The 15,046-nt window shown below is 35.4% G+C and overlaps 3 protein-coding genes across 3 annotated transcripts; 2 read left to right on the forward strand and 1 right to left on the reverse strand.

Moving 5' to 3' along the window:
- Positions 1-7,031: 7,031 nt before the first annotated feature.
- Positions 7,032-7,531, reverse strand: KRTAP6-1 (keratin associated protein 6-1). The gene has a single exon (NM_181602.2). The coding sequence runs from the start codon at positions 7,503-7,505 to the stop codon at positions 7,290-7,292; it is 216 nt and encodes a 71-aa protein (NP_853633.1). The 5' UTR covers positions 7,506-7,531; the 3' UTR covers positions 7,032-7,289.
- A 2,494-nt stretch (positions 7,532-10,025) lies between these two features.
- KRTAP20-1 (keratin associated protein 20-1) lies at positions 10,026-10,300 on the forward strand. The gene has a single exon (NM_181615.2). The coding sequence runs from the start codon at positions 10,056-10,058 to the stop codon at positions 10,224-10,226; it is 171 nt and encodes a 56-aa protein (NP_853646.1). The 5' UTR covers positions 10,026-10,055; the 3' UTR covers positions 10,227-10,300.
- Positions 10,301-14,227: 3,927 nt separating this feature from the next.
- On the forward strand, positions 14,228-14,451 carry KRTAP20-4 (keratin associated protein 20-4). Its single transcript, NM_001350977.1, has one exon. The coding sequence runs from the start codon at positions 14,259-14,261 to the stop codon at positions 14,391-14,393; it is 135 nt and encodes a 44-aa protein (NP_001337906.1). The 5' UTR covers positions 14,228-14,258; the 3' UTR covers positions 14,394-14,451.
- The last annotated feature ends 595 nt before the right edge of the window (positions 14,452-15,046 follow it).

A 15,046-nucleotide genomic window follows, 5' to 3' on the forward strand; every position in this document is an offset into this window, starting at 1 on the left:
GGCTGGCTTTGCCACCTGCTGATTGAAGAGCACCCGGGCCTGAGCAAACATAGGCAGTAGCCAGGGAGTGGTTACAGCAGGCCTTGAGTGAGAATCTTAGCACCGTGCTAGCTTCAGGTTTGACCCAGTGCAGTCATAGTGGTGTTGGCCATAGTGGTGCCTGTGTCACTCCACCCCCAGCTTTTAGTGACTCAGAACAGAAACAAAAACTCTGTATATTTGGGAGAAAAAAATAGAAGAAAACAAGAGTTTCTGCCTGGTAGTCCAGAGAATTCTCCCAGATCTTGTCTGGGAGACATCAAGAAAGTACTTCTATGAGTCTGCAAGAACCACAGCATTACTGGGCTTGAGGTGCCCCCAAAAGTAGAAACAGCTTAGATCACAGCACCCAGGTCCTTTCAAATATCTGGAAAGCCTTCTCAAGAAGGACAGCTACAAATAAGCCCAGGCAGTGAGGACTACAATAAATACCTAACTCTCTAATGCCCAGACACTGAAGAATACCTACTAGCGACAACACCATCCAGGAAAACATGACACCACCAAATGAACTAAATAAGCCACTGGCAACCAAGCCTGGAGAAACAGAGATATGTGACCTTTCAGAGAGAGAATTCAAAATAGATGGGTTGAGGAAACTCAAAGAAATTGAAGATAACACAAAGAATTAATTCAGAATTCTATCAGATAAACTTAACAGAGATTAAAATAATTAAAAAGTGTCAAGCATAAATTCTGGAGCTGAAAAATGCAATTGGCATACTGAAGAATGATGCCTTGTTTAGAAAACCTCATCGTTTTAGCCCAAAAGCTTCTTAAGCTGATAAGCAACTTTGGCAAAGTCTCAGGATACAAAATCAACGTGCAAAATTCATTAGCATTTCTATATATCAACAACAGACAAGCAGACAGTCATATCATGAATGAACTCCCATTCACAATTGCTACAAAGAGAATAAAATATCTAGGAATGCAGCTAACAAGGGAAGTGAAGGACTTCTTCAAGGAGAACTACAAACCACTGCTCAAAGAAATCAGAGAGGATGCAAACTAATGAAAAAACATTCGATGCTCATGGATAAGAAGAATCAATAATGTGAAAATGGCCATACTGCCCAAAGTAATTTATAGATTCAATGCTATTTCCGTGAAACTACTGTTGACATTCTTCACACAATTAGAAAAAAATATTTTAAAATGTATATGAAACAATAAAAGAGCTCAAATAACCAAGATAATCCTAAACAAAAAGAACAAAGATGGAGGCATCATGCTACCCAACTTCAAACTGTACTACAAAACTATAGTAATCAAAACAGCATAGTACTTGTACAAGAACAGACACAAAGATCAATGGGACAGAACGCAGAACTCAGAAATAAGACCACACACCTAAAACCAACTGACTTTCAGCAAACCTGGCAAAAGCAAGCAATGGGAAAATGATTCCCTATTTAAAAAACAGTGCTGGGAGAACTAGAACCATATGCAGAAAATTGAAACTGGACCCCTTCCTTGCACCTTATGCAAAAATTAACTCAAGATGGATTAAGGACTTAAAAGTAAAACTCAAAACTCATGTGGCTTTGGGTTGTTTGTTTGTTTGTTTGTTTTTTGAGACAGGTTTCATTCTGTCACCCAGGCTGGAATTCAGTGGCATGATCTCTTCTCACTGCAACCTCTGCCTCCCAGGTTCAAGAAATTCTCCTGCCCCAACCTCCTGAGTAGCTGAGGCTACAGACTTGCACCACCACACTTGGCTAATTTTTGTAATTTTACTAGAGACAGGGTCTCACTATCTTATACAGGCTGGTCTCAAACTCGAGGCCTCAAGTGATTCTCCCACCTCCACTTCCCAAAGTGCTGGGATTACAGGTGTTAGCCACCACACCTGGCCTTTCTTGCTGCTTTCAAGATCTTTTCCTTTGTCTTTACTGGTCATGGTTTAGCTATGATATTTGGGGTGTTAATTTTGTTTTGTTTTGTTTTCTTCTTTCACTTGAATTACTTATTGACATGTCCTAAATAGGGACAGTGAATATTAATCTAGAATTACCAATTATAATATAAACACTATTAAAATATTAGATTTCAATGATAAACAAACACTGAAAGCTCTCAGGAAAACCATTACATAATTTACAATAGGAAAATAATTAGGCTATTCATCGGAATTTTCAAAAGTGACATTCAAAGAAAGACAAAAAGAAAAGCATTTTAAAGAACCTAATAAAAGAAAGCGTTATCCAAGTTCTTTATATTTAACAAAGCTGCCCTCCATATATCAATGGAGTAGAACAACAGCTTCCTACATACAAAAAGTAGACATTTTTGCATCCACAAGCCCATATAGAGTAACACCCTAGAGGGTGAGCATCATCTAATCAAGGGATGAATGGGAAGTGTTAAGCAAAGTATTGAATATATATGTGTGTATGTGTGCATCTGTGAGTGTGTGGGGATACAAACATATGTGTTTTGGTATGAATGTATGTGTGTATGTATGTGTGTGATGATATGAATTTGGTGTGCTACCAAATATAGGGATTAGATGGGAGGATTAATAATACATAAATAATATATTTTGTGATGGAAAAGTAGTTATAATCCAACTAAATGACAAAGGGATAATAGAAGAAGAATGGAAGAGGAAAAGAGAACAAGCTAATTGTTGTTTTATAGACGAGAGGAAGTTAAATAATATTAATATAAGCTATTGTGTCAGATAATAAAATGTTAAATTTAAAAAGAGGGAACAGAGAACATTAAAATTAGTATATATACAAAGGTAACCAGATAGCCACTAATATAACTACCAACCATCAAAATACCATTTAAAAATTTTTTTTATTTTTGTGGGTATTCATTAAAGCATAAAGAATAGGACCAAACATACCAGTCATGGCAATACATGTGAATTTAATTAATTAAAATAAACATTTTAAATTTGGCTGTTGAACTAAGCCTAACTATATGTTTTATATAAACACCTGAAACAAAATGATTTCAAAATGCAAAATTAAAGCCATGCACAAAGGTGTCTGGGAAAAAAATCCCAATAGAAAACATAACAACTCCACTGTCAGATAGATAGAAATGAGGGAAAAGGCATTAAAAGTGATAAAGAAGAAAACTTACCAAGCAAGAGACACGCAAATCACAAGATATCTATTATATATATATATGTATATTTATGCACCAAATAATGCTAAGACCCCCTTTATGAAGACACAGATACCAGATACATGCCACTGAGAGACATAAGTAGAAACACACTAATAAGCAGCACTCTTGGAACAAGACAGATCAAGTGGAAAAAATAAACAAGCAGAGATAAGATCTAAACAATATATTCAAAAGGTAGCTCTCATTTATATAGACTGACCTTTATGCCTTGATAATAATGACCTTTATGCCCTGATAATAAATAATATACCTTTTTTCTCCAGTTCTCATGGAACATCCACACAAAGGTCATACATAATGTCCGGCAGAAAAGATTCGTTTTATAAAACAGAAATAATGGGAAAGGTACTCTCTGATGTCACACAACAATATTAATAACTACTAACAAGAACAAAGAACAGAAAAATCCTTTAACCTGGAAAGTAACAAGCCTTGTATTTAAAAAAATGTTCTTTGTTGAAAGAAGACATACAAATATAATTACCAGTTTTCAATAATTAATGATAGTTTAAATAATCTGTAACAGGGCCTATGAGAAATATTTTTAAAGTGGTTAGGAACAATTCATAGCACTGACATGTTATCAGTAAAAATAGAAGAAAATAAATTAATATTATGAAATATTAATTATATTTCATTAATTATGTAATATGAATTATGTTTTAGCTCAAATATTTCCCAAGGGACAATTAAGTAAATGAAAAATACACACAGATTAAAATAATAAATAGAGAAGGAGATATTAATGAGGTACAAAAAGAAAAAATACATGTAATCACATGAAATGCTATTATTTGAAAGATTAACAAAACTTGTAAACTACCTGCTAACTTGATCAAAGAAAAAAATCGAGAAACCATATGCGCAATTAATAGTAAGAGGGAAATAAACATTGAAACAGAAGACATTTGAAATACCATATAAGACTGGGTTTCAGAGCTCTATGTACGTAAATTGATAATGTCCTGGAGAAGTGCAGATGACCAAAATGGACACCTTTCAACTTAGAAATCATAAACAGATTCATTTCCTTAAAGTTAATGAAAAGAATTAACAGACCCTCCTCAAAAAAGACATATATGCGGCCTACAATCATATGAAAAAAAGTTCAACATTACTGTTCATTAGAGAAATGCAAATCAAAACCACAATGAGATACCATCTCACACCAGTCAGAATGGCTATTATTAAGAAGTCAAAAAATAAAAGATGCTGGCGAGGTTGTGGAGAAAAAAGAATGCTTTTATACACTTGGTGGGAATGTAAATTAGTTCAGTCATTGTGGAAGACTTTGATGATTCCTAGAAGACCTAAATACAGAACTACTATTTGACCCAACAATCCCATTACTGGGTATATACTCAAATGACTATAAATCATTCTATTATAAAGACACATGCATGGATATGTTCATTACAGCACTATGCACAATAGCAAAGACTTGGAATCAACATGAATGTCCATCAATGATAGACTAGATAAAGAAAATGTGGTACACATATACCATGGAATACTATGCAGCCATAAAAATGAAGGAGATCATGCCCTTTGCAGGGACACGAATAGAGGTGGAGGCCATTATCCTCAGCAAACTAACTCAGGAACAGAAAACCAAACACGGCATGTTCTCACTTATAAGTGAGAGCTAAACGATGAGAACACATGGACACATAGAGGGCACACAATGGGGACTAGCGGAGGGTGGAAGGTGGAAGGAGAGAGAGAAGCAGGAAAAACAACTAATGGGTACTAGCTTATTACCTGGGTGATGAAATAATCTGTACAACAAACCCCTATGACACTGTGACACAAATTACCTAAGTAGCAAACCTGCATGTGTACCCCGAACCTAAAATAAAAGTGTTTTTGTTTGTTTGTTTGTTTCTGTTTTTTTGTTTGTTTGTTTGTTTTGGTTTTTTTTTTTTGAGACTGAGTCTCACTCTCTCCCCAGGCTGGAGTGCAGTGACGCAATCTCGGCTCACTGCAAGCTCCAACTTCCATGTTCAAGCGATTCTCCTGCCTCAGCCTCCCGAGTAGCTGGGATTACAGGCACGCACCACCACATCCAGCTAATTTTTGTATTTTTTGTAGAGACAGGGTTTCACCATCTTGGCCAGGATTATCTCAATCTCCTGACCTCATGATCTGAGCGCCTAGGCCTCCCAAAGTGCTGGGATTACAGGCATGAGCCACAGCACCCGGCCAAAGTTTTTTAAAAAAGGACTTTAAGGGACAGTTTTTAAATAAAGAAGAAAAATAAAAATTAACAACAGAAAAGCCCAAACCCAGATGATTTCTCAGGAGACTTCTACCAAATATTTAAAGACAAAGCAATCCCAATATTGTACAAATTGTCAAAGAGCACTTAAAATGAAGGACAACTTCCTAATTCCTATTATGAAGGGTGTATAGTCATCCCCACTTATCCCAAAGGATAAGTTCCAAGATGCCCAGTGAATACTTGAAACCAAGATAGTAACAAAGCCTATATGTAGTATGTTTTTTCTGTATACATACATACCTGTGATAAAGTTTAATTTACAAAATAGTCACAGTAAGAGATTAACAACAATATCTAATAATAGAAGGAACGTATAACAATTACTGTAAAAACAAGTTATGTAAATACAGTCTTTCTCTCTCCCCACCCATCTCTCTCTCTCTCTCTGAAAATAGTTTAATATTTTCTCACAGTGGCTGATCTTGGGTAACTGAAACTACAGAAACTGAAATTATGGTTAAGGGAAAACTACTGTATGCACTGAATTTGCAGTGAGAAGAATCAACATGCCCAGTGATTGCTGCCTCCACATGTCCGTACTCTTGTGTAAGCCCCTCTCTGTGAGTGAGGGTGAGACCTGTTGCTTTTAGCCAATAGAATATGGTGTATGTTTATGATTATGTGTGCTTATGTGATTATGTTACATAAGACTGTAGTACCCATCTTGCTGGAGTCTCTTGCCCTCCCTTGCTGGTTTTGAAAAACAAGCAATTATGTTTCAAAACCCCTTTGACAAGGAACTGTGAGCATCCTTTTGGAGGTGAGGGTTGCCTCCAAAAGATAGCTAGCAAGGCACTGCAACAAATGGCCAACAAGAAAATGAAAATGAGCCCTTTAGTCCTACAACTGCAAGGAACTGAATTCTGCTAACAAAGGCATGACCTTGGAAATGGATCCTTCCCCAGATAAGCCCTGGGTACAATCAGCCCCATTTAAGATCTTGAATTGCAGCCTTGTGAGACTTTGAAGCTTCTCGGTTTATACCTGAAATAGTGTTTTTATTTAATTATTATGGCCCACTATGCAGGTCAAATAGCTTTATAACCTATTACTAGCTTAGAGTATACTAGATTATAAAACTATTCCTTTGGTTATGTCTCATTAAAAAATAGTTTCTTTAAAATGGAAGATTCAAAATGAAGGATATAGTAACAAGCATTCATTTATTTTAGGAGATATGCACAAGAAGGCTTCGGAAAATTAAATTTTTTCTTTGTTATGTGACAGACAGCAGGCAATGCATAACCCAACATATAAATGATAGGTACTTAATTTAGTATTGAGAATTACTCAGCACAACATAAATTCTTCCCCTAGAAGCAAAGGAGGAAACTGAAATTTATTAAAAAGCTTACTTTTCTAAAACAATTGAGCTTTGAATTGGCAAAGAAACCTCTCTAGAAATTGTAAGAAAAATATCTCCCAAAGAATTTAATTGTTAGCTTTCATGCAAACTGAAACAAAAACTATTGGTAAGAAATTTTAAATATTAAATGATTGACATAAACACCAGGTTTCTCTTCTGGATTAAATGTGTTTATTAGGTGAACAGAGAAAAAAGCTCCATCATAAAAGTCATCAAGGCAGATGATGTGACACCATCATTCTGATGAAAGGAGAACTGACAGGTGAATTTTACCTTATCCCGTTTCATGATGGAAATTCAAGATATTTGTAGGTTAGATGGTAGCTCAACAACAGACCATATTAGACTTCCATTGCAGGATATCATCACTCAAGGGAAAATCTCAGAACATGTGGGCTTCAGAATTAGTGAATCTCAGTATCACAGGATAGAGGGTGAGAGTCTCCCATGGCATCCTCAATAATAGTAGCCAGAGCCAGAGCCGCATCCATAGCCATAGCCACAGAGGGAGCGGGAGCCATAGCCATAGCCACAGCCCAGTCTGCGGAAGCCACAGCCACAGCAGGAGCCATAGCCACAGCCCAGGCCTCCATAGCCATAGCCCAGGCCTCCATAGCCACAGAACCCATAGCCAGGGGTGCCATAGTAGTTTCCGTAGTAGCTGCCACACATGGTGTTGGTTGTGGAGGTTGTCCTTGGGTAGGAGGAAGTGTAGGTGACTTCAGTATGAACACTTCCCCTGCAGAGGGCCTTTTATATGCCTCAGTGTGGGTGGGAACCATACACAAGTCATGCCATTGGCTAATTTGAAGGACCAGCATGAGTAATTTGTTGACTCTTGGTTTTCAATCGTGGCCTTGTGGCATTTAGAACATTTTCTATTGTTCAGCCACATCTGAAACATTTGTGCATCTTTAATGAGCATCAACTGTCTGATCTTTAAAACTCTACTCACACCAGACATTCAAATTACCATTTTCCAACCAGCCTTTATGGCAAGAAATAGCATTTTAGTAAACAAACTGACCTGTTCTAAACAACCAATAATTTTACCTTATTTTTGCTGACATTCAACAGGTCATGGTAATCTCCCTTGAGCTTGAGTTTCTCCATCTCTTTCCTGCTGCTCCAAACCCATTGTTTTCCTTTAGGAATTCTTCTCATTTTCACATGAGAGATGGTTTTCTTTTAAAAGCCAGAAAGTGTCACTCAGCTTCCAGAGACTGTTGACACAAAGCCAATAGTTTGAAATTCTAAAATACCAGGCATGAGAAAACTATACTTTTCTTTCTCACATCAATATTTCCTTTTGTGACTGTTTTAAAACAATAGTTCTTTCCCATAGTTTCAAATTCGTAATCAATGAGGTTTCATTTTATTTATAAAATTGTATTTTTATAAAAATTTTCCTGAAATTTCAAGGCATTTGTTATATTTGTGTTCTGGCTCAAAAGTAAGTATAGGTATTTTCATATTTAAAACAATAATACTGGCAGAAGTATCTTTTCATGCAACCTACTATATTTCCACCATCAAACAAGAAGTCTTTGGCAAAATATGAGACTATGAGGAACATGTTACTATAGCCTAATCTTTTTTCAAAGCAGTGAAGATCAGAGCTAAATTGAATGATTAAGTCAAGTAGCCCTCTGGACTTATATTCTTAGTAAGATGACTTTATAAGAGTGAGTTGAATATAGTAAATAAGAGTAAAATATCTGTAATGTGCTTTCTAGGCTCAAATTTTACCTCTACTATCCATAGCTGTCTGACCACTGTTAACTACATGCTTCAGCTGCCCTATCTGCAAATGGGATTGTAATAATGATACCTACCCCACAAGGAAATTTAGAAAATCAAATCTTTTGATACATACCAGACACTTTGAATAGTGTTTGGTTCATAGTAGGAACCAGAATACTAGAATAAATTTTGCTGTCTTTACTTATTTCATCCCATCCCTGTTTTTCTGGATAGAAGCTTCAGTAGAGAGTTGATCAATTGAATAAGAGAACTCAGGCATGCTTAAGTTCTCATTTAGGGGCATTATGTCCTTGAAGCTGAAGGGAAGAGAAACTCTGCATTGAGGATGTACATCTAACAACAGAGAAAGTCACATCCTGGTTTTACTGAGAAGGGGAAAGTCCTACCAAGTTCCCCAACACACATAGCACAAGCAGGGGGAGATACAATGATTGGTTCTCACCCAGGTGGATCTGAGTGGAGACTCATTGATTTCCTTACTACAACCAAAGACTGTTCTGGCTGTAGAGACCCAAGGATGTAACACTTCATGCTAGGTAATGGATTGAACAGAGTTTTATTTTTGTGGCAGTGGAAAATGGCAATATGTGTTATGCCATCCAAAGGTGTCAGTGCAGAACAGGTATGGTCCTCCTCAAAACCAACAGCATATCACTGCACATCGAAGCACACCTCAGGCAGAGAATGAGGAGTGGTAATGTCTTTATTGCAATTGTATTTTAATACTGACAACCAGAAAGTGATTGAATTTTGTTGAGTTTACCTGAAAGGGACAAGAATAAATGTTTTGCCATTTAGTGGAAATAATGAATCAAGATAGAATTTGGTATAACAGTAAAATAAAGTGCATTTGTACGTTTGTAAAGTTGTATCCTGTAAAAATGTTACCTGACTTATGTATTTAAAGTGAAATAAACTGTTCTATCTCTGAAGAAATATTGGGCAATATTACAGATCTCATACTCGAAAGACTTGCCCCTTAGGCACATCTGTCTCCCCAAAGCCATGCAGACAGACTTCTTCAACTGCAACTGGTAGATGAATGTAAAGGAATTAACAAGCCAAAACCAATTTGAATCAGATGAGATTTGCATAGTTTCTGTTATTTCATAGAATCTCATCATGAAATTTTAGTATGTGCTCTCAGGAAAAAAGGATGTTAAAACCAGGTTAAAAAAAATCTGTCATTCAAATCACATTCTTTGATTGTGAAAATCTTGACACAACACTAGAGGAATCCTAGCTATGAAGGCTTCACTATGCCTAATGAAATAAGAGATTTATGAGAGTGTTGCCTTGGCGGTGTTAGCGGTCAACCCAAAATAATTCATAATAAGAGCAACATTGCCTGTGATTTGCCACACCTACTACTGAGGAAGTATAAAAGACCTGTGAAGATGGAGATGTTCAAATTCAAGAACATCCTCTTCTACACCTGAACCATCCATTTCTGACACCATGATTTACTACAGCAACTATTATGGTGGCTATGGGTATGGTGGGCTTGGCTGTGGCTATGGCTGTGGTTATCGTGGCTATGGATGTGGTTATGGTGGCTATGGAGGCTATGGAAATGGCTACTACTGCCCATCTTGCTATGGAAGATATTGGTCATATGGTTTCTACTGAACAATTCTAGAGCTCACCAGATTTGTCTGCTTGTGAAACCTGGATTCTCATGCTGCTCTTGTTCATCTGATCCTGTGTCTTCAAAACAGCAGAAACCTAAACTAGGCTATTATCAAAGAACTACAGATGCTGTCTTTCTCTGGTTCTGTTGTGCAAGATGATAAAGAATAGGTTTTAAAATGCAATTCTTTGATTCTTAAGTCCTTTAAATAAATTTAGTCTGTTTGCAAATATAGTGTGTTTTCATGTTTATTATTTTCATTGTCAACTTTGCATGTGGATGATGGTAAGATGGAAACCTGTGGATAATTACTATCCCAAGGGGTTGACACTACATCTTATTTCATTTTCCTATTTTTTGTCCTTCTGTATATTTCTCACACTATTTAAAACTGAGCTTCTGTAGGGACACAGTTGATTGCTTTCTCTTCAAATAATTTCTACTTGAGCTTGACAAGCTACACACCTAAGGCTGGTGGCTGCATGCTGCTGACTGTCCTTGTTTCTCCAGAGCACATAGAAACACATACACATTTTAAGTTGTGGCTTCCATGAGTTTTCCAAGTTGTCTGCCTTCTGGTAGCTTCATCACTATGAAGCCTCTCAGTTGCCTGATGTTGTTGATATAGATCCTGTATACAGGAAGTGCTGTGCCATGTCTGGGAACCTGGATGTCTTTATAGGAAATCTCTTTATGATAGGCGATTTTGATAATGAAGTTCATTTCATATTTCATTGCATTCATGCAACAGCTCCTAAAGTATTCTAGGCATGCTGCTATATTGGGAGAGAGCATCTTTTCATGAATATTCAAGATTATTTCTGTTGTAATATTACTAAATTTTATCTAGTTGTATACTTTATAAAACTGGTATTTGTGTACTATTAGAATATTCTAATTGGGTTTTACATTTTTTCCAAACGGAAGAGTTTTAGTGAATTTTTACCACATGGTATGAAAATCAAACTTCTCAATTAATCTGTAAAAATAAACTATTGACATTAAGGAAACTATATTAGGGAAATTTAAAAAACAAGTTATACAACTAGATAATGGGATTAAAAGTTTGTATCATGATTTAATGAATACAGCAAACAATATATCTTTTCCAGTAATTAGAATAAAATGAATCTAGAAACAGAACTCCAAATCTATGCATTGCCAGTTCTTAAAATTTTCTAAAATATCAAAACATACCTAAAATAATATATTTACTATTATACATATTGTATATGTGTTATTGCTAATGATTATTAGCAATAACACATGTATAAAATTTATAAATAAATGGTTGAATTGAAATTGGGAATGCAGGTTCAAAATATTTACAGTATGGTTTTCTCATCTCACAAGTTTGAAGATCTCTGCTCTCGACCAAATTTTCTCAAGGTGTGGTCTAGGGACGCATGTGGGAACCAAAGACCCTTTTGAGGTCTCGATAAGGGCAAAATTATTTTCATAATACATTTTTCATTTTTACTGCCATACATTCATGAATGAACGGTGGAATTTTCCAGATATATGCATGTTATCACAACAGACTAAAAGCTAAATCAGATATGAGAAACTGTCTTCCATTAAGCGAGACATTAAAGAGATTGACCAAACATGTAAAACATTCCACTATTCCTAAGAAGTTTTTGCTCTAAAAAAATTATGTTTCTAAAAATATGAAATTATGACTGTTATTTTGAAATTGATTAACTCATATTTTAAAATCATCAATTTTAATTTTAAAAAGATGAATATCAGTAAATATAACACATAAAGAATGGCTTTTCAAGATCCTCAGTAAGTTCTTTTATGATCGAAGAGTTTTAAAATCATTACTCCAAACAAACTAATCCTATCCACCATTATTTCTTGGTGGTACGTTACTTGAGACAGAAGCATGCCTGAAATATTTTGGTTTAAATCCTCAAATATGGGAGTTATTTAATTAGGAAATAACACTATGCTCTTTGACTCTCTGTGTGTTGGTTTTAAAAAGTATGGTTCAAATAATAGATACATATTCCAACAAGAATTTTAAAAGAAAAGTGACAAAGTCTTCAATATCTCAAATATAAGAACTCAAGTGACTAACCCTACTTAAAATTCACTTTCTAGGGGCAATTAATCTGTATAGCATAAACGAGATTCTTTTAAAAGAGAATAATATAGCCCATGGCTTTTCTTTTCTTATATTTGCTGCCATCGTTCCCAGGGATATATTTAATTTTTAAGTGGAAACACTGTCTAAAATTTGGTTCCTAGCAGAATTTTCTCATTCCTTTTTCTATATTGTTGTATTAGATAGGAGTAGAATTTATTGCAAGTGATAGAAATAGTGTACATTTTAAGAATGTATTTCTCTTTCACATAATCAAAGTCTGGATTTAAGTCATCTCTAGCTGGTTTCTAGTCCTCAGTGACCCAGACTCATTCTAAATCATTGCTTCATCATTCATAAGATGTAACCTTCATCTTCATAGTCAAAGATGGTGGCATTTGTGTCCTAGGGAAGAGGACCAAGAAATATACAAAGAAGATGATAGACTCCATGCAACTTGAATCTTAAGGAAGGATCCAGAAAGCCGTCATATTATACCTTAAATTTTATGCATTGTTCAGAACTTCATCACATGACTAGAGTGGGTTTCAAAGAAGCTTGGGAAATTTAGAGGATTTTTTTCCTAAGTTGATCATGCCCAGCATAAAAAAAGAACTATTATATTCAAAGAAGGGGAGAATAGTGAAAACAAAGCAACTATTCATCTTTATTACCACTAGAGTCCATCAAGTTTGGCAAACAATATTGGTAACCAGCATAGTACTATAATGAACATCTCAGGTCAGTTATATCAAAACATCATAATAAAATTCTTTTTAATATATAAGCACCTTTTAAAATGTACATATATATTTATGTATGTCCACTTGCTTGTTACTGCAGATTAGTATGTGATCTTGTTTAGGCAATAAGAGATCCACTGTATGTTTTATTTTTTTTAAATAACAACATCTATTGGTTTTAAGTTTGTCAGAAAAAGCACCAAATTATTAAATGTAAATATTTAAGCTAAAAGTTGGAACAGGAAGTCCTCTAGGTCAAGCTTAGCACTTAGATGTGTGTTTACTTAGATGTATGTACTAAGTACTTATCTTAGTCCTCAGATGTGTGTCCTTACTTGTTTACAACAAATACTCCTTATTCCCCCAGGTGACTGCTATATGGATCCACTACCCTATTTCATATATTTATTTTCCACTGTCTCAAAAACGCTTTCCTGGAGAAGTCCAAAGAGAACATCAAAACAAATGTGAAAATACGGGAACCCGAGAGGTGAGATGTGGGAGATCTCACACCAATACTTCGATTTCTAAATAAATGTTTACAGTGATCTGACATAGAAGCAAAATCATGCTAACAAATAAATAAGACTCTCAAGATAAAAAAAAACATATGTGACTTTATATTAGCATTTTATTGTAAATGTGGTCAGTTCACTGTTAATAATCAATATAAAATATTATTTGGGATGAAAAGTTATTTACCCCAAGGAAAGAAATTGTGTAATTTACAAGATATTTTACTTCAGATAACTTTCCACTTGTATCACTTCCTCACTCAAATAAATATACTTCCAGTTTCTGTTTGCATATTTGACTCACCAGTAGAAATCATTAGAAGTAAAGAAAAAAATCTGGATCAGAGGGCTTGCATATTGTTAACATTTTAAGGAACCTGAGTCTAGACTTTAATAACAAACAAGAGTGAGAAGATCACCAAGACACAGGAAGCATCTTCTAATTAAGGGCATGTAACATTATTATTGAGTTTCAGACAAAATAGTTACATTTTTATAAGGATATCTGTACTTACTGAAATAAATTTCGTCAAGTTTTATTATGCAGCTTTCTCTGAAATATGAAACCAAACGGCCTCATACACTATTGAAGATGTATAAAATTTCATTTGCAGATGGTGACATTCAAACTGAGAAAAATAATTCCCTGATCCACAACTGAAACATCCACTTCTGAACACCATGTCCTACTACAGCCATCTTTCTGGTGGCCTGGGCTGCGGCTTGGCTGTGGCTGTGACTATGGGAAGGACTGTGGCTGTGGCTGAGTATGGCAGGTGCAGACATGGCTGCCACTCATCTTACTCTGCCAGGTAATGACACCATGGATTCCACTGAGGAACACCTAGAGCAGTTCAGTCTACTGCACTCCTCCAGCTTGATTTCCTGATTCTGTTTCTATAATTTTTCACGTGAGTAATTATATTTGCTATACAAACTCTGATAGCTCATCCTGGTGAACTTGAAGAACACAAAGTTCAGACCTGTCATGCTTCTGAATTCATGAAAAGAGCCAAAAATTCGTCAAAAATTATAGGTAAGTTTTATCTTTAATATTGTGCTACCAATAAATTTATTTTATATTTTCAATCAGTATCTTTCATATGAAAAAAATTTAAGTTCTATTTTAATTGATTGTTTTCTCATATTCAGGATGGTTCTACTTTATTCTACATTAATTTGTATAGAACTGTGAGGAACTGCTTTTGGGCGCTGCCTTTCATGCTATTCTGAGATGACACTGTTTCAAAAAAGATAAGCATAAAATCATCAGTCCATTATAATAACATGGGTATAAAAGCTACTTTCAAATGTACCTACAGGCAGCATTATTACCTATACATAAGGAAGCAAAATGTCATTTGACACAATAATAGTCCCATTTCCTGTTAACATATGCTAGGGCTATCTTTCTAAAACCCCACAGCTAGGTTGTCTCATTCAGATCTGTGCCTTCAGGTGGATAGAAA

Source organism: Homo sapiens, chromosome 21 (assembly GCF_000001405.40).
Source record: "Homo sapiens chromosome 21, GRCh38.p14 Primary Assembly".
In the NCBI taxonomy this organism is placed as follows: domain Eukaryota; kingdom Metazoa; phylum Chordata; class Mammalia; order Primates; family Hominidae; genus Homo; species Homo sapiens.

Bases quoted from the DNA above. Each gene is read 5' to 3' on its own strand.
- KRTAP6-1 (NM_181602.2), bottom strand. From the start codon at position 7,505: ATGTGTGGCAGCTACTACGGAAACTACTATGGCACCCCTGGCTATGGG.
- KRTAP20-4 (NM_001350977.1), top strand. From the start codon at position 14,259: ATGTCCTACTACAGCCATCTTTCTGGTGGCCTGGGCTGCGGCTTGGCT.
- KRTAP20-1 (NM_181615.2), top strand. From the start codon at position 10,056: ATGATTTACTACAGCAACTATTATGGTGGCTATGGGTATGGTGGGCTT.